The sequence below is a fragment of the Homo sapiens genome, chromosome 1 (genome assembly GCF_000001405.40).
Source record: "Homo sapiens chromosome 1, GRCh38.p14 Primary Assembly".
NCBI lineage: Eukaryota > Metazoa > Chordata > Mammalia > Primates > Hominidae > Homo > Homo sapiens.
The window spans coordinates 201327900-201352790 of record NC_000001.11 but is presented as its reverse complement, the minus strand read 5'-3'; the positions used below and the strand labels follow the sequence as shown (position 1 = coordinate 201352790).

Sequence of the window (24891 nt, the reverse complement as noted above, 5' to 3'; positions counted from 1 at the left end):
GGTCATACAGGGCAGGATCCTGATTACTGTATTTTTATTACAATGTTAAAATTATTTGAATGGTACACTTCCTACCAAATCAAGTCAGGCATCTGATAGAAACAAAGAAAAGCATATTTTCAAGAAGTCCCTTCTGTATTTTAGCCAACAAATATTTGAATAATTTCTGATTATATAATGCAAAGTACGAGTGCATCGATCCTTATCATAGAAAAACTTGTGTGAAATAATGTTCAAATTTGTCTATTGCAAAAATTTGATCACTCACCTGGGAAATCTGGAATTAGGAATGTAAGATCTTACCACTGCCTCTTGCTCATATAAAGTGGCTTGTGAATTCACCTAGCCCTCATCCCACTCAGTTGCGGTTGGTGGTTTCCTCATCTCTCCCCTACATCTAGCCTGGGCACTTCCTGGGACCTGGGGTCCTGGGTTGTTCATCCGTAGATCCCAGTGGCCTCCATGCATGGGAATGAATACAGGAGAAAAATCATTCTCAAATTAGATGATCTTGTTTAAGGTTTGATCTTTTAAATATCAAATATCAGAGAGGGAAAATATGGCAAACTAATCACATTAGAGTTGCATTGTCTTTCACAGTTGTCAAAGCACTGTAACAAGTCCATAGGATAGTAACTTTAGAAAAAGAAGACCTTTGATCTTGGAAGGGTCATACGTTTACCTCGCTCACATCATATCGATGCAAGCATTAAATCTGCTTGATAACCAATGTTTCTATTAGAAAATAGGGGTCACTGACACATTGGTTCAGTCATTGTGTAAATCCAACACATATTTATTAAACACATACTCTATTCTAGGTACTGGCTAGTTATCAGGGTTATACCTGAGGACAGACCAAGACTGTTTCCTACCTTCATAAACAAGAGGAGAAAAGTATTAAACAGACATTAGATCACTGGATAGATAGATAGATGATAGATAGATAGATAGATAGATAGATAGATAGATAGATAGATAGATAGGAGATAGAGATAGGTGACAGATGGATAGATGGATAGATAGATAGCAGATAGAAAAGAGATAGGTAGATAGATGGGAGGAAGGTAGATAGATAGAGATAGGTGGATACATACATGCATATATGCATAGACACAGACACATGTATGTACAGATATAGATATACATATGCAGTGCCTGGGTCTCAAATTGTAAAAAGAGAAACCCAGAGGAAAACAGCAGTGTGCTGTGAAAGAGAACAGGTTGGACATAACTTAAACGGAGGTGTTGGATGAGGGAAAGCGTCCTTGTGGAAGATATCACTGAGTTGAAAACTAAAGGATTCATAGGCATTGGCCAGAGGAAGCAAGTGAGAAGATGCTGGGAGCAGAAGGAACAGCAGGTGCAAACAACTTGGTGTGATGGATGGACTGAAAGGAGGAGGGAGGGCTGCGTCATGGCTTTGGGGGCCACGTTAAGGGGACTGGATTTTACGCTGAGTGTGATGGGAAGTGTTTGATAATTTTAAGCAAGGGGAGGATGCACTGACTTATGTTTTTAGAAGATCACTCTGGCTGTGGAGTGACCTTTTGGTTGGAGCACATGCGGGGAAACAGGGAGACTAGTTAGGAGGCTGTTATCATGGCGACGGTGGGGTCACGCTGGCGACCTGGGCTGGTAGTGTGGGAGAAGGAGAGAGGGGGACTGTAGATCTGAGGTGATGTCAGCAGAAGGCAGTTTTGGAAAGTAGGGGTAGAATGTGGGGGCTTGGAGAGAGTGCACTGTAGGTGGGGTTTGTTTACATGAGTCCCCTCCTTCCCCCAGGTTCTGATCCACTCCCCACCCCAACCCCACACCGTTCTCTCCAGCACCAGCCTTAGACCCTGGCAACTGGGAGTCAGGCGTTGGGCCCTACACTTTAAAAGGCCCCACTGTGGCTCTCCTTTGGCTGTCCTCCTTCCAACAGGACAAGGAGTCTGCAGGTACCAGGGACACGCCCACCTAGATCCAGCCTTTGCTAAACCAGAGCCACTCAGGAAGACAAGCCACATGAGACCTGGAGTTTGCACCAGAATAGAGGTCAATTCACTGCTTCCTTCATTAGGAAAGTCTTGCAACCAATGACATAATAAAATAAAATAATAAAATAAAATAAAAATCAGCTGGAGGAGCAGGGACACCTATCCAAGGCAGACAGCAGGACAGCCTTGGGTACTGAGGAAGGAGTCAGCTCCTTCCCTGGCCCCATGCCCACCCCAGCAGGAGAGGGGCCCATGGAACAGGGACCCATGAGATGGCAGAGCACAGCCCTGCTCCCGGTTTGTCCCCAAGTTTAGTCCATGCTGAGCAGGAGAAGGAGGGGAAGGGGAGCTTTGAGTTGAATAGGAGATTGGAGTTTGAAATGGATGAGGGCAGAGACTTAATAACCAAAATGTGACCTTGTAGGAATCAGCAGTGGCCGTGCAGTTTTGAAACCTTTAATAGCACTCACTGTCCACAGGGCAGGGGCTTTCCCAGTTGGTAGCAGTAACTGAGAAAAAATTAAAGCTCTTTGTAGCCAAACCTCACTTAAGGCGATACACTCCTCACTTAGGGTTTGACTCCTTGGGTGAGGTTTGACTACAAAGCCTCCTTTCAGGCCGGGCGTGGTGGCTCACGCCTGTTATCCCAGCACTTTGGGAGGCTGAGGCGGGTGGATCACGAGGTCGGGAGATCGAGACCTTCCTGGCTAACACAGTGAAACCCCGTCTCTACTAAAAATACAAAAAGTTAGCCAGACATGGTGGTGGGTGCCTGTAATCCCAGCTACTGAGGCTGAGGCAGGAGAATCGCTTGAACCTGGGAGGCAGAGGTTGCAGTGAGCTGAGATCACATGACTGCACTCCAGCCTGGGCGACAGAGCGAGACTCTGTCCCAAAAAATAAACAAACAAACAAAATCTCCTTTCGGTCCCCACTCAGCCTTCCCTGGGAGGCCAGCCCCAGCCACAGTAGCTCCCTTTGCAGCCCCCACCCTTCCACACTGCGCTCCCAGTCTCCTCTCCTGTCTGACTTTTCTCTCCGAGCTTTTTGTCTTTTACATACAATATGTTTTCACTGTTTACCTTGTTTTTTTGTCCGTCTCTCTCTCCACTTGACTGTAAGATCCAAGAGTTCAGGGATGTCTGTTCTGCTCACTGGGCACACGGTAGCCCTCAGTAACTACTTGCTGAATGAATGAACGATGTTTGCCCAGGAAGTTGAGGGCTCTTATTTAATAGACTGCATATATTACACAGTGTTCCACAAAGGGCAGAGGGAGAATCTTGCCGAACAGAAGATTTGGGGGCTCCAGAACAGGCGTAGTTGGGTATTTGACAATCTGAAGAGTTCAGGAAACACCATTTTTGGCTAGTGGAGCTGTCTAGGCCAGGGCTGCTGCACTCTGAATGAATGAGTCGGGAACCAGTCAGAAAGGAGATTTTCATGAGAAAGAGACCGGGCTGCCTTGCCACATGGGACAGAAGGATACTAATGTCCTCGCCAGCAGCAACTCATTTTGCATCCTGCTCAGGCAGGGGTTGAGAGTGGCAGGGAGTGGGAGGAAGTCACATGTGCCCCAGAATCTGCTTGGATTCTAGAAAGTGTTGAAGGGCATGGATTCTGAAGCCAGACTCCCTGGGTCCAATCCCAGCTGCACTAGGTATTTATTTAGTGACCTCAGTCAAGTTACTGTGCCTCAGTTTCTTCATCTGTAAAACAGGCATGATATTAGCAACCACCTCATTGGGTTATGGTGAGGATTAAATAAGCTCCTATAGGGCTGGGCACGGTGGCTCACGCCTGTAATCCCAGCACTTTGGGAGGCCGAGGCAGGCGGATCACCAGAGGTCAGGAGTTCAAGACCAGCCAGACCAACATGGTGAAACCCCATCTCTACTTAAAATACAAAAATTAGCCAGATGTGGTAGTGGGCGCCTGTAATCCCAGCTACTTGGGAGGCCGAGGCACAAGAATTGCTTGAACCTGGGAGGCAGAGGTTGCAGTGAGCCGAGATCACACCATTGCCCTCCAACCTGGGCCACAACAGTGAAACTCCATCTCAAAAAAGAAAAAAGAAAGCTCCTATAAATATAAGTGCTTGGAACAGTGCCTGGCACATGGAACAAGCAGATAAGCGTTTGCTGTCATCTTTGGCATATTGTGGAGATAGGAAGGGTCCCCGGCTCCCTGTCCTTTTCCCTTAATTGTGATGTCCATCCCCTCCTTCCTGCCTGCCCTTAGTTTCCTCCAACTTAGGTTTCCCTTTCCTCCCATGCCCCAGGCCTAGGGTGAGCCTTGTCTGGCTTCCTCCTTCCCACCTTCTCCTTCCTCAGAAGGAGTCAGCCCAGCCGGCCTTGCCCTGCCATGTGCAGCCAGACAGTGATGGAAGATGAGTCGCCAGTGCTGATGACACCCCCACCTCCCGCCCACCTCCCACCAGGACAGCAGAGATCTATTCCAAGGAGTGGATGGACAAGGAGCCCCAAGTCTTCATCGCTCTCTTGAGGGATTAGAGCTCCCCCTGGGTGTGGTTTGGGAGCCCTGCACCTGAATTATTGTCGCCCTGCCGGTGTGGACCAGAGAGAGCCCTGCCCACCTCCCAGCATCCACCTCCCAGCCCCCCGTCTGTGTCTCCCACCCCATTCCTAACTGTAAAATCCGTGCCCCCAGACTACCCTGGCCTCCTTGTTCTCCCTATCTCTCTAAACAATCCTCACTTCCACACTCTCTCCCCATTTCCACATTATTCTGCAGCCTCAGCTCTGCTTCCATGTGTTTTTTCCCTCCAAGTTGCCCTTCTTTTATAAGTCTGCCCTTCCAGGAAGTCTTCCTGGATTGGCCAGGACCTTGCTGCTCAAAGTGTGGCCCGCAGACCGGCATCAATGGTACCACCTGGGATCTTGTAGAAATGCAGAATCTCAGAATTTGCATTTTAATAAGATCCCCAGGGATCCATGTGCACATTCCAGTTTGAGAAGTATTGAACTAGGTCACCCTGCAGTCCCAAAGGTCCTTCATTCCTTGAAAAGACAGAGATTCTGGGAGCCTGTCTCAGATGGTGACAGGAGGGAGACAGGAGAGAGCATTTCAAAGAATGCAGCGAGCCCTGCTCCTGTCTTATATCTTGACTCCTACTTTCATGGCAGCCTGTCCACCAGCCTGTCCAGATTTCGAGGCTGAGCATGCTGGAATTCCCCCTGCAGGGCTCATCAGTTGCACTTGGTCTGCGGACACACTCTCCCAGTCCATGCCCATCTGCTTTGCCATTTGACTTGTTCCAGGAGAGCCTTTGTCTGGGATTCCAGAATTTCCCTTTGGAAGTAAGCTTAAACAATCTCAGTGTGGCTGCCCAAACTGGCTCTCTGAAATTGGAGTTCTGTTAAAGTTTTCTGCACTGAAGTAAGTTGGGAGGGGCTTCATGCCACCTTTGTCTTTTTCTCTTTCTTTCTCTGCTGTGATACACATGAGCACGTTAAAACTGCTGAGAATCACGAGTAAAAAAAACTGATTCACTCATTTAGCCCAGAGTTTCCAAAACTTAGACCTCCTTTGTCACTTAGCATTGTGAACATCCTCTGGAACTCATTTTGGGAAATGCTAATCTAATTCCCTAACACACACACACACACACACACACACACACACAGACACACACACACACACACACACACACAGACACACACACACACACAGACACACACACACAGAGACACATAGCAACTACTAAGATTTTATGCAAGGCTCTTTGGATGCTGCAGGACCCCTTGAGCTCATTTTCTAAGTGAGAAGCTGAGTCTTGTGGTGTTGGAGAGGATCTGCTGGGGCTTCTCTTCCAAATCCTTTCTGGGGGGGGCAGGGCTGGTACAGGCATCGTCAACTCACCAGGGTCTATGGGGAGGCTGTTCTTACCAACCTTGATTTCTCCTGTATACTGGATGGCTTGACTTTTATTTTGAGTCTCAAATGCTATTTGTTCTCTCAAATCTGCCAATCTAGTCCTGTAGTTGAAGTTCCTGCCAGCAGGGGGAAGTTCCTACCAGTTCCCATGGGCCTGATGGTCATTGTAAAAGGTGTCCTCCCCAGCTGAGGGAAGTTGGAAAGGACTTCTACGAATCCAGTGCTTGGGCTCAGTTTATGCAGGGAAGTTCTGTCTGCCTTGCCCACCTGGAGAATGGTGGCAGCAGAGTTTTCTAGCCAAATCTCGACTCGCCTTTTGCTGACACTGTGGTTAGACAGAAGGTGGAACTGGCAGGGCCAGTTCTGACAGCCTGACTCACGGCTTCTCTAGCTCCCTGCCACTGGTACAGGGAGGTTGAGGCTGGGTGGGGGGAGGGTGTGGGAATCTGTGCAGGAATGCCAAACTGGAGGCTTCTCAGTCCTAGCCAGGGAGCTGGGGCAGGCTGGGGGCAGTGTGTGGGGCTTGTTGAGAACCTAGGGAAGCTGATGGGCATGGGAAAAGGAGACCTTGAGAGCGCCAATGCTCTGAGAATCACAGAGTGAAGGCAGGGATTTCCGTTCCACAAAACTCACATGAAGGTCTGATTTGGGCTGGCAGGGACCCCAGATATCCCCTTATTTCAGCAGGAAGGAAGCTGGTGAGGAGGTTTTTCCAAGGCCACACGTTGACTCTGCGGTAGATCTGGGATCTCCTGATAGTTGCATTGAGGCATCACTTTTTGTGGCATCTGGGCTGCTTCCCCAGCTGGAACTGTCACATTCAGACTTACCTGAGAATAAATTTATCCCGAAGCTGATCTATCGGCTCTGGAGAATCCCATTTCCCAATACTAACATACGCCATGCCCAATTTCCTTGCTCCTCCTTGAGGAGGTGGCACAGTAGGATCCACCATGGGCTGAAGGTGCTGGATGATCTGGGGTGCCATGCAGTCAAAAGAGACCTTTGCCTGAGTTTCCAAGGAATTGGAGTTTGGAGATCCCACAACCTGGCAATTTCCAGGCCTAGATGACAGATTTGGGATATCCAAAATCTGAGAGAGTCCAGCCCTGTATTCGGTGTATTCGGTGCAACTCAGACCACAACTGATGTCCCTTTACCTATTCAGAACTCCAGTTCTTAAGAGGGACAGTGACAATCTGAGACATGTTCAGAGAAGGGTGACCAAGAGGGACACTAAATCATGTCCTTGAGGAATGGTTGAAGCAGCTCAGGAGGCTTAGCTTGGATATGAGAAAGCTCAGAGACACCAGAGAGCTGTGTTCAGATACTGGAAGGATTGTCATGGGGAAGACAGGCTGGACCGATTCTCCATGGCCCCAGTGAGTAAAGACAAGACCAGTGAGTGGAAGTTGTAGGAACCCAGAAGCCAGAGCAATACCAGATACTTGACTAACGGCCAGCACAGCTTTGAGTTCTCTTCCCCTGGAGGTGCTTGGAGGGTGCTGATTGGCCAATGTGGAAGAAGGTTTATGGGTCTTCAAGAGTCAGCTGCAGGAGGGAGGCCTGGGAGACTTTTAAGGTCATTTCAACATGCAATTCTATGCATCTATATCCAGACTCCTGTTCTATTCAGCTCATGTTGGGTTTGTGCTCTGTGCTGGACACTGTACCAGGTATGACGAAAGGGCAAAAAATGGAGCAAGTCACTATCACAGAGGGGAAAATAGACACACGCACAAGCCAGGGCACGACTCGTGCCTCCACACAGGTGCACGCAGGCCTCACAGAGGGGATGACATGCCAGTTGGGCCTCAAAGGATGAATAGAATTTTGACAGGCAGAGGCAGGGGAAAGGCACACCAGGCAGAAGAAGCAACACAAAGACAGTGGGATTAACCTGGCACATCGTGTTTGGGGAGATGCCAGTCATGGGTGGAGTAGAGGGAGTGAATGGGAAGCAGCAGGAGGCAGGAGGGGTGGGCTGGGGCTGGCCTGGGAGAGCCTTGGGTGATAGTCTAAGAATTCTGGCTACAGAAAAGTGGGAGCTGGTGATGCATTTAAGCAGGGGAAGGATACAGTCAGCATTATTTAGAAAGATGACTCTAGTGGAGGCACTCTGGGGGCAAAGGGGCGGGAAACAAGAGGCAGAGGGCCCAGCCAGGAGGCCCAGCCTATTGCCGTGGAAGGGGCCAGGCCTCAAGGAGGCCCAGGGTAGACAGCGGTAGTGGGTGTGGAGATGAGGTAATAGTTTAGAGTTGTCAGGACTTGGTGCCTCAATGGGAAAGGAAGAATGAAAGATGAGGCCAGAGTTACTTGATGAGGTGACTGGGTGGGTGGTGATTTAATTAACCGTTGTCTTTTGTTTTTCAAAAACAAATGAACCAAAACACATGTGGCTCAGGCTGGTTCAGAACTTTGTGGAGCCCTGAGCGGAGAAGGGAAGGCCCAGGGAGGTGTGGGGAAGCTGGGTAGAAGCTCTGAGGGGCAGCCATGAGGGGCCGGAGGGTTGCTGTGTGAGTGCTCCCCTCTTGGAGACTCAGCTTCCCCTGAATGAGCAGCAGGGGCACACACAGTGTCCTGGCTCTCTAGTGAAGAGCCAGACCCTCTCCTCTGCCTCCCTCTTTCACACCTGAGTCTCTCACTCCATCTCAACCTCTCTACCAACCTCTGCAACTCTCCTCTCAAGATAAGCTGGTAGGTTGATGATATGACAAGTTGTCAGTACCCCCTGCACAAGCCTCACCCATCCCCCTAGCCAGCATTGCTAGGAGTTTGGGTAACCACCAGCCAGGATCTTTGATCCACAGGGCTCAGACCTACCAGACCACCAGATATGAAGTATGGAGCCCTTCTCTATCTAATCTCAAACAAGGGTTTGTTCCGAGTTATCTCTGAGTATGTGGAGAAGAGCTCTTCTTCATCCCCAAATGGTTTGTGTATTGACTGGCAACTATCATAGGTGGAGTGTGGGATAGAGGAATGTCTGGAGCTGCTGTGGAGCCGTACTTCAGTTTAGTTAAACAAGTGTCTCATGTCATCACACTATCCCACCGCTGTCCCTTCTGTTGCAGTCACTGATAGACCCCTGGGGCACTCCTGTCACTTCCCTGAAGATTTTCGCTCCAATCTACCATCACTTTCTCAATGTTAGTTCTATTATAATTCTTGATGATTTCAAAAACTTTGAGTACAATCCTTCCGATATCCTGGCCTCTTGGTTTCTTGATCTCTTCTCCAGAGATTTTTGTCCTCTATCCCACTTTAGCCATTTACTTTCATGGTTGGTCAACCTTGTTGTGACCAATAATGACAATTCCTTCATATTCTCAATTCCAAGCAACACACTCTTTGACCACTACTTTCCAAATGACACCTCACTGCCTCAAGTACTCAGGCCCTAATCACTCTTTGGACCCTGCAATCCGTTGATACTATCATGTTAATTTTCATGATCTCTCAACCAACCCCCTCGTGTTTTCTCCTTCCTTACCCAGGTTAAAGTTTATGGCTCGTCTATAGCCATTCCCTTGCCCACATCCTTAACTCCCTTCCTCCTCTCTTGCCTCACTGACCTGCCTGCAAAACCCCCTGGTTAAGTCCTCTTCACTGTGTGGTAGCAACATGTGGGTAGAGTAAGCACATGACTGTGCTGACCAGTCTTCCTTTAAATTCATTACCACCAACCTTAAGCGGGTTCTCAGTGCTGCCCAGCATTCCTACTATATTTCACTAGTTCTTTAGTTTTCCTACACTTCTCAACTATTTCATGCCTTCTACCCTCTTCCACCGTCTAACATGTCCTCCTCTATCCTCACTCTCAGATCTCACTGAGAACATGGACATATCACAAAGAGAACTCCAATAATCTCCCACCACCACATCTATCCCCACCTGCCTCGGGAACCATAGTTGAGCTGTCCACAGCCCAGCCAGGGCCAACCCTTCCACTTATGGATCAGGTCCTATGCCTGTTCACCTACATCACACCAGCAATTTTTTCCTCTCTCTCGGGTCATCGATTTCTCCTTCCCTGCCATATTATTCCCATCAGTATATAAAACATGATTTTATTTTACAAAAAAATCTATGTTTATGCCACATTCACTCTCTAAAAGCACCTCATTTATCTCTTCTACTTTACAAATACCTTTTCAGAAAGCTGTCCGTCCTCACTCTCTAAAATTCCTTTTCTTCCTCTTTCTCTTGAACCCACTCCAGTCAAGTTTCTGCCCCTACCACTCAAACAAAATTGCTCTGGTCAAGGCACCAATGACTTCCATGTCACTAAATTTGATGATCAGAAGGTTCTAGCAAATCATAGTCATCTTTCCTAAAGACAACAGCTATAAACTCTGGGTGAAATACAAAAAGTAGCAACTACCTGCAAATACTGGACAGTCACCAAAAGCAAGAAGAAACTAAGGGAAGCTGGCACTCAGATAAGTAAAATTTCATTGTGTAAGTTTTCCATTTTATAGCTTTTCATCAAAGGGCAGACTGCAATTAGCTTCATGCAGACTGTCTTAAAGCCCAAGTAGAAGCTTATAGTCTTATTGGCTTAGATAACCAGAGGAGAGAGTTTAGGGCAGCTGGAAAATGGAGGAGGGACATATTGGAAAGGAGAGAGTCACAGAGAGAGTGCCCCAAATTCTGAATATAAACTTAGCCTAAATCTCTGACTGACTCTTTAACTATGCAAACATAGGGGAGAATCCAAGAAGCCCAACTGAACCAACAGAACTGAACAGCGATTTCAGCTGACGCTCACCCTAAAGGAAACGGGGTTTGAAGTTTGAGTTCAGCCAGTTAATTGCCTCCTAAAACAAAACATCAACACTTTTCAGAGGGGTGAAGAACAGAATCCAGAAGTAATACAATGTATCATTCATGAAGTCCAGGATGCAATCCAAAATTACTAACATAGTAAGAAACAAGAAAACCTGACTCATAATTGAGAGAAAAGACAATACCTGAGGACTGATCATAAAATGGTTTTGATACTGGAATTAACTGACAAGTATTTTAAAGCAGAAATTATACTTTTGCTCAAAGATATAAAGAAAAATATGCTTGTAATAAATAAATAAGAACTGTTATCAAAGAAATTGAGATACTAAATAAAACCTAATAGAAATTATAAAACTGAAAAATATGATAAGTAAAATAAAAAAAATTCACTGGATAGGCTCAACAGCACATTTACAATGACAGGAGAAAGAGTCAGGGAACCTGAACACAGATCAGTAGACATGTACTAATCTGAAGAACAGAGAACAAAAATAAACAGGCACTCAGTGATCAGCAGGACAATATCAAAAGGTCTAACATACATGTAATTGGCGTCTCAGAATGAGAGAAGAAAAAAAAATGAGACATAAAAATAATTGAAGACACAGTGGCCCAAATTTCCCCAACATGATAAAAGACATAATGTATAAACCTAAAAAGCTCAGCAAACCCTAAGCAAGCTGTGTCTAAAGAAAACCACACCTGGGCACATTATAGTCATACTGTTATAAATCAAAGATGTAAAGAACCTCTTGAAAGCAGGCAGAAAAAAAAATGATACCACACAGACAGGGAACCAACAATACAAATGACTACTAAATTCTTATCAGGAATAGTGGAGACCAGAAGGCAGTGGAAGAGCATCTTTAAAGTAATGACAGAAAAAAAGACACCATCAATCAGAATTCTGTGTCTGGAGAAACTGGCCTTGAAATATGAAGTTTTTTAAAGATAAATGTAAACTGAGAGAATTCATCACCATTAGACCTGCACAACAAGAAATGATGAAGGAAGTGTTTCAGACTGAAAGGAAATAATGCCAAATGGAAATTTGAATCTTTAGGAAGAAATGAGAAGCACTGCAAATGGTAAGTACTAAAGGCTACTTTTCTGTTAATTTCTTTCAAATGGATATGACATTTTAAGGCAAAAATGATAACATTTTATTGTGGCATTTACAATATATGTAAATATAACACAAATAACAGCTCCAACATAAAGGAAGAGGGCTGGTAAGTAGATGTATGTGGCTCCAAATTCTTACATTTTATTTAAAGTCGCACAATATCAGTTGTAAGCAGATTAAAAATGTAAAGATATATATTATAATCTCTAGATCAATCACAAAAAAACCCAAAAATATAAAGATGCAAAAAGCCTATCGATGAATTCAAATGAAATTCTAAAAATAACCCCGAAGAAAGAAGAAAAAAAACCCCCAAAAAACAGAGGACCAAAAAGAGAGTTGACTAATCAGATAACAAATAGTAAAATGGTAGACAAATTTAACCGTACCAATAATTATTCCAACTCTAAATTGATTAAACACTGTTTAAAATGCATTGGTCATCAGAATGGGGAAAAATAAGACTAAGTCTCAACTATTTGCTATCTAAAAGAGATGCATGCTTAATATAAAGACACAGATACATTGAAAGTAAAAAAAAAAGGCAAAAGATATAGGACACAAACAGTAACCAGAAGACTGGAGAACAGATTAATACCAGATACAACAGATTTCAAAACAAAGAGTATCAACAGAAACAGAGTGACATTTTATGAGGACATTCACTGGGAAGACAAAGCAAACAAATATATGTGCATACTTAACAACTGTAGAATACACATGATTTTTGAGTGCATATGGTTCATTCACTAAGAAAATATGTTTGGCTCTGAAACAAGTTTCAATAAGTTTAAAAGGACTGAAATTATACAGAAAATGTTCTTTGAGTATAATGGAATTAAATTAGAGATAAATAAAAAGTGTCTAGAAACTCCCAAATATTTGAAATTAAATAACACTCTTCTAAATAATTCATGAGTCAAAAAAATCACAAGAGAATTTGGAAAATATTCTTCCTGAAATGATAATGAAAGTACATGTCAAAATGTATGAGATGCTGCTGAAGCAGTGTTGAGAGGGAACTTTAAATACCTGAAAGGTTAAAATCGATGACCTAAGTTTCTACTTTAAGAATCTAGAAAAATAAAAGCGAAATAAGCCCAAAGTAAGTAGAAGAAAGAAAATCATAAAGAGCAGAAACTGATGAAACGAAAAAAAAAATAGAGAAAATTAACAAAGCCAAAAGTTGGTTTTCTGAAAAAATAAACTCCTAGCTATGCTATTCAAGAAAAAGTGTTTGTGTGTGTGTGAGAGAGAGAGAAGGAGAGAGAGAGAGAACACAAATTACCAACATTGGAAATAAAACAGGGCATACACTATAGATCCTGCAGACGTTACTTTTTTTTTTTTTTTTTTTTTTTTTTTGAGACGGAGTTTTGCTCTTGTTGCCCCGGCTGGGGCAGTGGAGTGCAGTGGGGCAATCTCGGCTCGCTGCAACCTCCGCCTCCCAGGTTCAAGCGATTCTCCTGCCTCAGCCTCCTCAGCAGTTGGGACTACAGGTGTGTACCACCACGCCTGGCTAATTTTTTTTTTTTTTGGTAGAGACAGGGTTTCACCATGTTGGCCAGGCTGTTCTCGAACTCCTGACCTCAGGTGATCCACCTGCCTTGGCCTCCCAAAGTGCTGGGATTACAGGTGTGAGCCACTGTGTCCAACCCAGACATTACTTTTTGTTGTTGTTGTTTTGAGACGGAGTCTCATTCTGTTGTCAGGCTGGAGTGCAGTGGTGCGATCTTGGCTCACTGCAACCTCCACCTCCTGGGTTCAAGCGATTCCCCTGCCTCACCCTCCCGAGTAGCTGGGACTACAGGCACACACCACCATGCCCGGCTAATTTTTTGTATTTAAGTAGAGATGGGGTTTCGCCGTGTTGGCCAGGGTGGTCTCAATCTCCTGACCTCGTGATCCACCCGCCTCGGTCTCCCAAATATTACATTTTTTTAAAATCTGGCAAAATTAATCTGTCATGAAAAAAGCAGAACAGTGGTGGCCTCTTAGTGGGAAGGGGGATTGTTGACTGGGAAAATGCATGAGGGGACTTTCTGAGGTGATGACATGTTCTATATTTTGATAGAACTTTGGGTTGCACAGACGTCTGCATTTGTCAAAATCTATTGAATGGTACACTTAAGATTTGTGCATTTCACTGTATCTAAATTTTACCTAAAGGAGCAGAAAGGAAAGAGGAGGAAATAAAAGAATCGTGAATCCAGTTGTCAGCTCTGCCTTCATCCTGTGTGCTCATCAGCACTATCCCACACAGCCGGGCCCTCCCTCCATCTAGGCACACTTTCTTCCCTTGGCTTCCAGATGCCACACTCTCCTGATTGGCCTTTCACGTCACTGGCTGTTCCTCCTCATTCTCTTTGGTTGGTTGTCCACCGCCTTTGAAGCTCTTCTCTATTCTATCTATCCCCATGACGTTGGTCATCTCATCCAGTCTCATGGTGTTTTGTTTTGTTTTGTTTTTTTTATTTGGAGATGGGATCTCATTATGTTGCCCAGGCTGGTCTTGAACTCCTGGGCTCAAGCAACTTCCCGCCTTGGCCTCCCAAAATGCTAGGATCAGATGTGAACCACCATGCCTGGCCTAGTCTCATCATTCAAAAGCCCTTGGGTCTTTTTTTTTCTTTTTGAGACAAGAGTTTCGCTCTTGTTGCCCAGGCTGGAGTGCAAGGGTGCAATCTCGGCTCACTGCAATCTCCGCCTTCCGGGTTCAAGCGATTATCTTGCCTCAGCCTCTCGAGTAGCTGGGATTACAGGCATGCCCCTCCACGCCCGGCTAATTTTGTATTTTTAGTAGAGACGAGGTTTCTCCATGTTGGTCAGGCTGGTCTCGAACTTCCTACCTCAGGTGATCCACCCACCTCAGCCTCTCAAAGTGCTGGGATTAGACATAAACCACTATGCCTGGCCTAGTCTCATCGTTCAAAAGCCCTTGGATCTTTAATCAAAGATATGTGGCCCCAATTAATCTAGACTCTTTTTAGGAGGTGGGAATACTTGGCCTCAATCTCTCCCCTGCGGAGTCCTGGTCACCAAAGCTAAGGCTTCAAGAAGAGCCCTACTCATCATATAGGGATGCTGGTCCTTACCAAGCCTCTGCTCTGTGCCCACAGTGCCAGGTGCTGTCAGATCCCTCCAGCAGCCTTGTGGTTGTGTGTGTGTGTAGGGCTCTATCAGTGTGTGTGTGTGTGTGTGTGTGTGTGTGTGTGTGTGTGTGTGAACTCCCCCTGTGTTTAGAGAGTCCCATGTTTCTTCATCCTGTGTGCTCATCAGCACCATCCCACACAGCTGGGCCCTCCCTCCATCTAGGCACACTTTCTTCCCTTGTCTTCCAGATGCCACACTCTCCTGATTGGCCTTTCACGTCACTGGCTGTTCCTACTCATTCTCTTTGGTTGGTTGTATACCAGACAAGAAAATGTTTTTCTTCTTTTATTTGCCAGTTCCCCTTTCCCTCCCTTCCTTCCTTGTTCACCTAAAAGAATAAATATCCAGTTCCTTCCCTGTGCCAGAGACTGCTTGGGTCCCTGCCCTCAGGGAGTTCACAGTCCAGTGCAGAAAGTGGCTGTACCAACCACCCAGGTGCCGGGTGTTACATCAGGGCTCTGGCAGGGCCTATGGAGCATCCAAAGGTGCAGTTAGTCCAGTGAGGAAGGGGACTTGCAAGAAAGAGCAGAGGGTGGTGTTGGAGAAGGGGCCTGGCCTTGCTCCTAGTGCTGCTTTGTGACCCCTGCAAGTTACTTTCCTTCTCCAGGCCTCAGTTTCTCACCTGCAAAGTGAGGGAGTCGGGCTAGACCAGCGATTTCTCCACAGCTCCTCGGAGCCTGGGGTTCTGAGGATCCCACTCCTGGGCAGAAAGGGAGTGGGCAGGTGGAGCTCTTGCCCCAAGTCTCTTCCACCCGGGCTGCCTCTGTCTCCCCATGCCAGTGTAGCTTACCCGAAGGATTCTGTGGTTGGAAAATAGGTGGATATCGTCTGCTGAGGGGTGTTCCCTGGCCATTCCACTCCGACAGTCTGTGACCCTGATGCAGGCCAGCTCCAGACAGCAGATCCCAGATGCTGGATGGTGGGTCCAGCATGCCACCAAGCCAGCCTGTTCCCTGCCAGCCTGTCTCCCAGCCCCCAGCACCTGTGGCTACAGCCCCACACTCTGCAGTCCGCCAGTGGTCCAGCCATCAAGGAGATCTGGTTGGTTGGGGCCAAGAATAAAGGCTCTGCCCCCAGGAGTACTCAAAACCAGACAGACAAGGGGACCAGGCAGGACCAGCTCTGAGCTGGCAAAAGAAAAAGAAGTAGAGAGATTGGGCAAGAAGTGACTCCTTTCAGATTCAAGAGTGGACGGTAGATGGGCTGTCTGGAAAAGGGCTTTCTCAATTCAGAGGAGGAGGTGAGTGTAGGGTATTTTTGCCTTGACCTCTCAACTTTTGGAAGAGGACAAGAATTTTTTTCCCAGACGTTTCTTGAATTAAAAAGAAAAGATGAGGAGTATATGTCTGGGGTACAGGTGCTTATTCTGTTTTCGAACACTGGTTACAGAAGGCTCAGAGGGGCACCATGGTCACAGGTTGGAGTCATTAGAGGGCAGTTTTGGAGCCAACCTAATTGTTGGCAACTGCTGTCTAGATGGCAGCTATAGAGAAGGGAGAGGAGCACCAACCTTGGCCTCAGACCTGTTTCAAAATCCGAATCCATCACCTACTATCTGTATGACCTTGAAAAAGTTGCTCCACCTCTGAACCATAGTTTCCCTATCTGTGAAATGGGAATGATCCCACCTACTTTGCAGCATCTGGATAGAGATAGAAGGTCATTCATGCATGTCAGTGCCCACCCCCACGGGGGTCACAGAATAGGTGGTCGTTCTTGTCTGTTGTCCCCCACAGCCCTGCTATCCTCCAGGAAAACTCTGGGCCCCAGAATGCAGCCAGGTGAGCCTAAAGGGATCCAGAACAACACGCATGGGTGCAGCATGGGCCCCACTGGCCCTGGAGACCTGGTTGACATTTCCTTTCAGAGAGAGGTGTAGAAAGCAGGATTTTAATGGTCTTGTGTGCAGAGGGTGACATTTATACCCCAGAGATTTAGAACCGCTTGGTAAATGCTGAAATGCTTTTTAGAAATTTTAAAAATTAATTCAGCAGCCATAAAACTTCTTAATGGGCCAACTAGAGGGCTTAGGAATGCCAGAAGCCTGAAATCCTTTCTGTATATGGGATATCTCTGCTGATCCACCATCAGTGGGGCTTGTCAGCTTTGACACGCTTCCCAGAGAGGCTGGCATGTCACTTGGTGACATTCACACCCTGCTGAGGTGTGCAGGATGACGGGTTAGGGTGGAGGATACCAGCAGGAGTCCTTAAGGTATTTTTCACTCTGTGGCCCTGGCCTCATTACCTCCATATTCTAATCAACCAAACCACCAGCCCCAGACTAGATGATCCACACTGTAGTTTCTGGCATCTGATATTCCGTCTATCAGAACTCTTCGTTTATTGGCATGTCTGCACAGCAACCACAGCTCATAAGATGTGTAATCTTATGATGCCTCGAGGTGCTGTGAGCTTCTGATTCATTAAAGATTTGGTTATGCACAGTATCGCCTTTGTGTCAGGCCTCTCTGAACAGTTTTAACACTTTGACAGCTGGGCAGCCTCATGCGAGTTGACCAGAGCAGACTTGGGCTGGGACACAGGAGGCTTGAGTCTCAGGCTTGGTTCCGCCACAAACTTGCCACGTGACTCTGCGCAAGTCACTTTCTCTCTTTGGGTCTGTTTCCTCATCTATAAATTGAAATGTAATACTCTGGGCTCTGCCTGTCTCACTAGAATGAAGTAAAGATCAAAACAGCAAACCAACACCCTAAGGCTTTGAAAGCAAAAGGAGTTAATGTGTGGCCCCCTCAAGTAAAAAAGACTATTGTTATTATTAACGACTTCTGTTCACTCTTTTCTCCAACTGTGTTGGACAACGGAACGCACTGCATTCCAAAAATGATGCACAATGAATGCTTTATCTCTCGTGGAGAGAATCGGGTTCCAGGCCAGAATACTTCCAAAGGCAACAGGAGGAAATGGCTTCAGGGCTCAGGGTAGAGAGACCTGGAGGCAGCCTGACATGGAGTCTGGGAGACTCAGCCTCCAGCACCATGAGACCTTCTCCTTTCCACAGCTTAGGCTGCCAGCTGCTCCTGGTGCCTCCCAGTTTGGTCTTGCCCATCTGTTCCTGGACCCTTTTGCTCTCACTGGACAGTCCTCTGAAGGGGCCAGAGGGCCTGCCACCCACTTGGCCAGGGACAGTTGAATTAGTACTTCTGTAGCTTTTTGGCACTCCTACACATTAAGTGCACCCACGTCCCACGTAAAATCGAACTTCTTTACTGTTAGTTGTAATTTCCCAGTAATTATATCACATGTGGGAATTTTTAGGAAGTGAGACAACTAATCCGCAAATTGTTTCCAGTTGTTTATAAATAATAGATGTAACAATGGCGATGATGTAATATTGCATTTTGCATTGTAACGTAATTACACATAGATTATTATATGGCAGTGGTAGGAACATGAATAGGAATGAATGAATCTTGCAAACATATTGTTGAGATAAAATAACCAAACATAAAAATGGACTTACTGTTGACTTCCTTTATATAAAGTTCAAAAATAGGCAATATTAATCTACGGTGTTAGAAGTCAGGACAGTGGTTACCCCTGGGGAGGAGGATGGTGACCTGAAGGGGTCTGAGCAGGGTTTTGGGTGCTGGTAATGTTCTGTTTCTCGGTCTGGGTGCTATTCATTTGTGAAGCTTCATTGGGCTGCATGCATTTTCAGTTGTACATGTTTCTGCATGCATGCTATATTCCAATGAAAGCTTAGCAATCTAAACATCTGTTGATTGTAAATTTGTAACTTGATCTCACATTTTGGAGTCAATACATATTTTTCAGGTCTCAAAACATTTTTTGGATGTCCGAGGCCTCGTGTATTTAACAGTCCAGGCCACAGATAGGCCATCTTCTTCTTGTCTGTGGTACAGCTCCTTCTCTCTGACCTCTCTGGACATTACTAAACTGTGGGATGGTCCAGGAGGTCAGGGCCGTGGGCTGTAGTAGAGAGGACTTGCCAGTCACCACTCTTTCAAATTGGGAAAAGCTCACATTCAGCCCTTCCCCAAGCATCCTGACCTTCCCCATCCAGGTGGCCCTGACTGGCACTGATGGCCCACGGTGGTTATGTTCACAGCACTACTTGGAATTTACTACACATGCCTCGTTTGCTTATGTTTGTCTTGTCCCTTATGAGACTTCTGAGGCTGGGGCCCATCACATCCTTTGTTTTTGTGACCCTCCAGCACCAATACAGAACCCAGGTAGAATAGGCATTCAATAAACATCAGCTCCAGCTGGGCACAGTGGCTTATGCCTGTAATCCCAGTGCTTTGAGAGGCGAAGGCAGAAGGATCACTTGAATCCAGGAGTTCGAGACCAGCCTGGGCAACATAGTGAGACCCATAGTTGGGAGCCTTAGCTGGGAGGATTGCTTGAGCCTGGGAGGTTGAGCCCTCTTTGAGCCATGATCTCATCCCTGTACTCCAGCCTGGGCAACAGAGCAAAACCCCTGTCTCAAAAAGTAAATAAATAAAACTAAATAAACACCAACTCCTTGACCTTCATCTTTGAATTTCTCTTTCCTACAGATGCCCCACCTGGATGGGTTCAGGCTTGGGGACATTTACAAGCTGTGTGACCCTGGGGGTATTTGTTCCTTCCCTAAGTCTCGCTTTACTTATTTTAAAAATCAGGACAGCAATCCTAGTGTCATGGAGCTGCGGTGAGGCTCGATGTGCTGCTGTAGAGCAGGTGTCCATGGATAGCGCTGTCCCTGTGCCCCCGGGTGGCATTCTCAGTCCTTGCCTGGTACAGGGTAAGAGGAGATCATGGAAGGAAATGAGTAGCCCCTTCATCCCTCAACAGCACCCCAAAGAATCCACTCCTCGAAAAAGTTCAAAGAAACACTAGCAATTTATTGATTTTCTCTATTTCCAAAAAAAGCAAATACATTAGTGTATCACACAAGGAAACTGGGCCTGGCCGGCACAAGGTTCCTCTACAAACATGAAGCAAGGGGAAGGTGGGCTACAGGGAAGCTCCAAGATCCCTCACAGCAGCCCCCGGCTTCCCTTCCCTGCCCACCCCAGCCGCAGTCTTGGTCCTGCCAGCCAGTTCAGCCAGATTCCAAGGTGGACATGCAGACAGCAACACTGCCTCTTGGGTCCCCAGGAGGAGTGTGGAGTCAGGGCTGCTAGTGTGGTCCCCACTGCAGAGGTGGCTGGTGGCCAATGACTGGATTTGTCATTGGCCGCTAGCACAGGAGATCCCAGGGCAGAGTCTGTGTCCTTCCTCATTTGGCCCCAAATTGGAACTCCTTATTTTGGGCATTGGCCCTGGTAGTGTGAGGCCAATGTGGACTTAAAATCCTGAGACGTGTGTCGGCTACATGAAGCCTGGCAAGCTCCTTGTTCTCTTTCTCTAGGAAAAGCCCCTCTCAGTTTTGCCCCTCTCAAAGTGACAGGCCTGGGTCAGAGGCCCGGGTGACCTGAGCTGGCCTGAGAGGGAATGGGCAGTGTCACCAAAGTCAGCCCTGCCCTAATAGTCTGCCTCAGCCCCTGAGGTCTGGAAGGCTGCCTGGTTCCCAGGGCAGGGGCTGGGCCCATGGGGCTCTTCATTCTTTGAAGGTGGGAGGAACATGAGGCGAGGGGATGCAGGAGGCCAGGGTAGTGCTAAGGGGAAGGGGCATCCGCCTGGGCTGGTAAGGTTCACATGCAGCGGTGCATTTCCCCTCCCGCCCTGACCGGACTGCACAGCCCCCAGCCGGGGGAGCCCTAAAGCCAAGGACTTGTGTCTCCACTTTCCTCCAGAAAACATAAGCCGCATGAGGACAGGGATGTGGTCTGTGTTCTTCCCTGATGTAGTCTAAGTGCTTAGGACACTGCCCCGCACAGATTGGTATGCCATACGTATTTTTTAGGAGAAGAATTCCTCTGGGTTCTGATGACAACAAAGGAGGCCCCTGAAACCTATGCCCAGGACAGTCCAGGGATCCAGGCTCCCACGTGGGTCCCTGAGAGGGAGAGGTGAGCCAGGAGTGGGCCTCCCAGTGTGAACAGAAGCAAGGGAGGGTATGACAGACCCACAGCACCACAGCACAGCTGGCTAACAGCCGGGGACACCTCTCGGAGGACAGCGTCCTCACATGTCTGGCGTCCCCCATCTCAGTTATCATACTGAGTCCACATCAGTGTTTTCCAGCCTGAATGCTGGGGCAAGAGGTGGGTTTGGACTCGGGGGTGGTGCAGAAGAGGAAGACTTGGGAGGAGGCTGAGAAGGGGTGAGGAGGAGGAGCATCTTATATTCTTCTAGAGAAGGGCACAGACCAGGAAGTTAATTCCTCTCTAACACCAGCAATGCTAGCATGGAGGTAGAAGCTGGAAGGAGGAAGGCTTGGGAGCGCTGGGCTCTGCTCTGTCTTAGTGTACACCAAGGGATGTCCACACAGGTTTTCTCATAAGGCCCTCGGGAGCCCTCCTGCTGCTGCTGGTCTGAAGTGCACAGAGTCTGGGGGCTCGACGTGGCTGATACCCCTAATAGCCCTGTTTATCACATCCCCTGTGGGTTTCACAGAGTGGAGACAAGACAGCTGGGGTCAGGGGAAGTGGGGCATGGCCCCTGGCTGAGATGTGAGCTTGCCGGTACCGGTACCCTGATATGGCACTTTCCTTTCCTAGTCTACCCAAACTCCCCCCGTCCAAGTCTCCTGGGACCCCAAACACTCCCTCAATTGACTCACAGCAGGCTTGGTGGAAACATCTTCCTGGTTAATTTCTATACCCCAACTCCATCCCACTAGAAGCCGGAATAGGTATATGCCCAGCCCCACTTGTTCCCCTCTCCACTGGGAATATGAAGACCAGCCATTCCCAGAACAGCTCTTGGGAAAGAGCTGCAATAAAATAGCTTTTCTTAAAAAAATCATTTTTTACCTTCTTTCTCCTGCAACAAGTAGATTACAAGACCTCTGAATGCAGGGCCTTTGCAGGCTGAGCCTGCTCTGATGGGCACACAGCCCAAGAGGGTGGAAGGCACCATCTTTCAGCTCCTACTCCTCTGAGCAGGCCTCATTTGGCAAAGTATGCGAGAGTGTCCTGCTGTCCTCTGGAACCCCACACCTACCCAACCTCAGTCCTTGTGGCGCTGCTGGAGGGGTGACATTACAGACACCCCAGATTCTCCCATGAGATACACCAGACCTCCCTTCCTGGAAAGCAGCCTTGTAAGTGGGGAGGCTGGCCCAGCCCCAGTTACTCCTGCACCCCTGGAGACCACTGGTAGGAAGCCTGCAGGACTCCTCTGAGGGCCTGACTGCAGTGATGGCCCCCTTGCCCTGGCACCACACATTTCAGGAATTATGAGCAGCTCACCAAAAAGCACATGTTGTCCTTGCCTATGAGTAAGAAACACAGGAGAGTCCTTTTCACCACCTTATGAGCTGCAACAAAATAGCTTACCTAGCTTTTTGCAGTTTGTGGTTATGCTTTAAGACACTCACACACACACACATGCACGCGCACATGCATGCACACACTTACATTATACACATATATATACCATTTCTCAGAGGAAGAAATATTGACATCACATATAAGCCCCTTTAACTCAAGAAAGCCCCCACCGCCCCAACCTCCCTAACCCCCATTGCCTGCCAGTTTCCCCAAGGAAAAAAAAAATCTAAAAATCTTTCCACTATCCACAGTTTTTAGGTTTCTTCTCAGTTTCTTGTGAACTTTCCCAAATACTGCATAGGATGGACAGAAAACCCCATCCAGCGAGGCCTGAGGGCTTCTCAGCTGGGTCATATCTTCCTGGAAAAGGAGAAAGTCCTCCAGTTAGTGTTTACAGTGAGATGTTTCCACACCACAAGCCCAGCCTGTACTGCCACCCTCTTCTCACATCGGCCCTCAAGTGTGCCCTGGCCTGAGACTGGATTCAAGGCTGCCCTAGACACATTTATAGATTGCCCTGTGGATTCAGAAGCTTGTCAGCTTTGTCTGCCACCCTGCCACAGTGTCCCCTGCCCACCGTCTTCCTCACTAAGAAAGAAGGTGGTGTTCATTAAGGATTTGCCAAACCGAATCTCTTTCCCCTTTTCTGCCTTCAAGTTGTTGCAGCTTGTTTACTAGGAGAGGATATCTGAAGTCTTATTTAACCTTCATCCAGACCAAAGTTACAGTCCTCTCTCCCCACCAGGGATTGGGGTGGGGGGTGCTGGCAGACAGCCTGGTTAAGAGGTCCCCCTTAGCTCAGGAGACCCTGTCTTGATCCCAGGCTATTTGCAGATGGCTCCATGCTGGGCTGCCCCTGAGGCCCCTCTCTAGGGGTGATGACATCTGGCTGGAGTATCTCTATTTGTGATTCTCAGTTTACCCGCATCAGAAACACTTTAGACGCTTGTTTAAAAATAGACTTTCCTGGATCCCACTCCAGGGCTATTGAGTCAGAATAGCTGGGGCTGGGCCAAGTGTGTGCATTTTAGCAAGCAACCCATATAATTCCAATGAACACTGAGGTTGGCAAGCCTTCATCATAGGATTGGTTCTGAGTTTTGGGGGCCTAGAATCATCAGCTGGAAATAAACTTGTCCACACTGGGCATGTGCAGAGAGTGGAAAGTGAATTATAAAAGGATAAAAAAGTGAGCTGTGTATGGCCAAGCCCAGAATGACATATTCTAGAACTCCAGTTATCCATATTGTAGAACTCACTGTAGTCCATGTGAAGGGCACCACCTGTGTTGTTCAGTGTACAACCCACACATTTGTACCTAGCAGTCCTGCCCAGACCCTCTGACCCCTCTGAAACTCCCAGGACATTATACACCCCTAACGTCCTGAGGGTGGGACAAACTACGCCCCCAGCCAAGCAGTCTACACAACTGCTTGTGTTGTCCAGAGCCAGGCAAAAGGATGCTTCTGTGTCCCTGGGAGCACAGGCCTAGCCCTTGTCTCTGAGACTGGCTGAGGCTGTTGCAGTGGTCCCAGAGGCATCCCTGAGGGTGGGGTGATTCTTACCTGCAAGCCTAACTTGCTTGGACAGTCTCTTCTTAGAATCGGGAGGTGAAGTTCCTGAGGCTGTTGGCCCCAGCTAAGGTTCCCAGCATGTTCCTATCGAAACCTTGCTGCAAAGGGAGAAACAGCAACCAAATGACACAAAACTGTGTGGGGCTTGCTGTGGGGTCAGACACTGTCCACTGCCCTCCCAGAGCAACCTCGGCTCACACAGCCTCTCTCTTATCACTAAGTACATGTGTCAGGGCGAAAACTGGCCTCAGTAACTGTGTAACAAAACATAATAACTCTCCATGAGTCGGTGCAATGTGTTTGAACTTCCACTGACACATGTGAATTTCCTACTTGCATTTGCAGAAACCTGAGTCAAGGCGTGAGGATTTAGGCTAGTATTATTTTTTAAACAGAGCAACAATCAAAATCAGATTAGAGAAGCTGTCAATTGTTCTTCCCTCTGACCACCTCTATCTTTTCTTTTTTTAAACAATTCTGACAAGAGCTCTTGGGCAGAGAGGACATGCCCATTGTTTCTCAAACACAGGAGCAGGGGGCTCGCACTGGTAAGAAGCCGCTGTGCTAGAAGGTTCTGTTTACTTGTCTGTTCTTCACCTCCAGCCCCACTAGCCCCTGAGTGCCTGCTGGATGGAGAGTGAGTCTTATTCCTGTTATTTCTCCCAGCATACAGCAGGTGCCCAATACATGCTTCCAAGTGAATGTGGACAGCATGATTTGAATGCAGCAATAGGCCAAGGTGCCCTTGAAAAGAGGGTCCTGCTGCCAGCCCTGAGCTCTGAGAGCCAAGCCAGCCATCACCGACCTGTGGGAACAGGAGGGGAGATGGCATAGGGGATCCGAAACAGCAGCCGGTTCGAAGCCCTGCCCCTCCTGTCTTTGGGCATGTATTACATGATGCCATTTTTCTTCTGCAGATTGGCATGCTCATTCCTGTCGAGCATGGCTCATGCCCTGACT

General features: G+C 47.4%; 1 protein-coding gene across 2 annotated transcripts in view, besides 3 other annotated features; it reads right to left on the bottom strand.

Moving 5' to 3' along the window:
* Nucleotides 4277-4416: an enhancer, noted in NCBI's record as "active region_2311". NCBI's record gives its function as "activates an Ori minimal core promoter by ATAC-STARR-seq in GM12878 lymphoblastoid cells {active_cell/tissue: GM12878}" and the evidence as "EXISTENCE:reporter gene assay evidence [ECO:0000049][PMID:35858748]".
* Nucleotides 4701-5685: an enhancer, noted in NCBI's record as "H3K27ac-H3K4me1 hESC enhancer chr1:201316234-201317218 (GRCh37/hg19 assembly coordinates)". NCBI's record gives its function as "activates a minimal SCP1, AML or CMV promoter by ChIP-STARR-seq in primed H9 embryonic stem cells {active_cell/tissue: H9 hESC(primed)}" and the evidence as "EXISTENCE:reporter gene assay evidence [ECO:0000049][PMID:30033119]".
* Nucleotides 5796-6296: an enhancer, noted in NCBI's record as "H3K4me1 hESC enhancer chr1:201315623-201316123 (GRCh37/hg19 assembly coordinates)". NCBI's record gives its function as "activates a minimal SCP1, AML or CMV promoter by ChIP-STARR-seq in primed H9 embryonic stem cells {active_cell/tissue: H9 hESC(primed)}" and the evidence as "EXISTENCE:reporter gene assay evidence [ECO:0000049][PMID:30033119]".
* Nucleotides 19802-24891, bottom strand: part of PKP1 (plakophilin 1) — a 49484-nt gene continuing 44394 nt past the window's right edge. For both annotated transcript variants that reach the window (NM_000299.4, NM_001005337.3), the window contains 2 exons: nucleotides 23923-24029; nucleotides 19802-22717 (listed from right to left, as the gene is read on the bottom strand). In NM_000299.4, the coding sequence (NP_000290.2) occupies nucleotides 23955-24029 (75 nt within the window). In that variant the 3' untranslated portion in view covers nucleotides 19802-22717; nucleotides 23923-23954. The remainder of the gene's footprint in view (nucleotides 22718-23922; nucleotides 24030-24891) is intronic.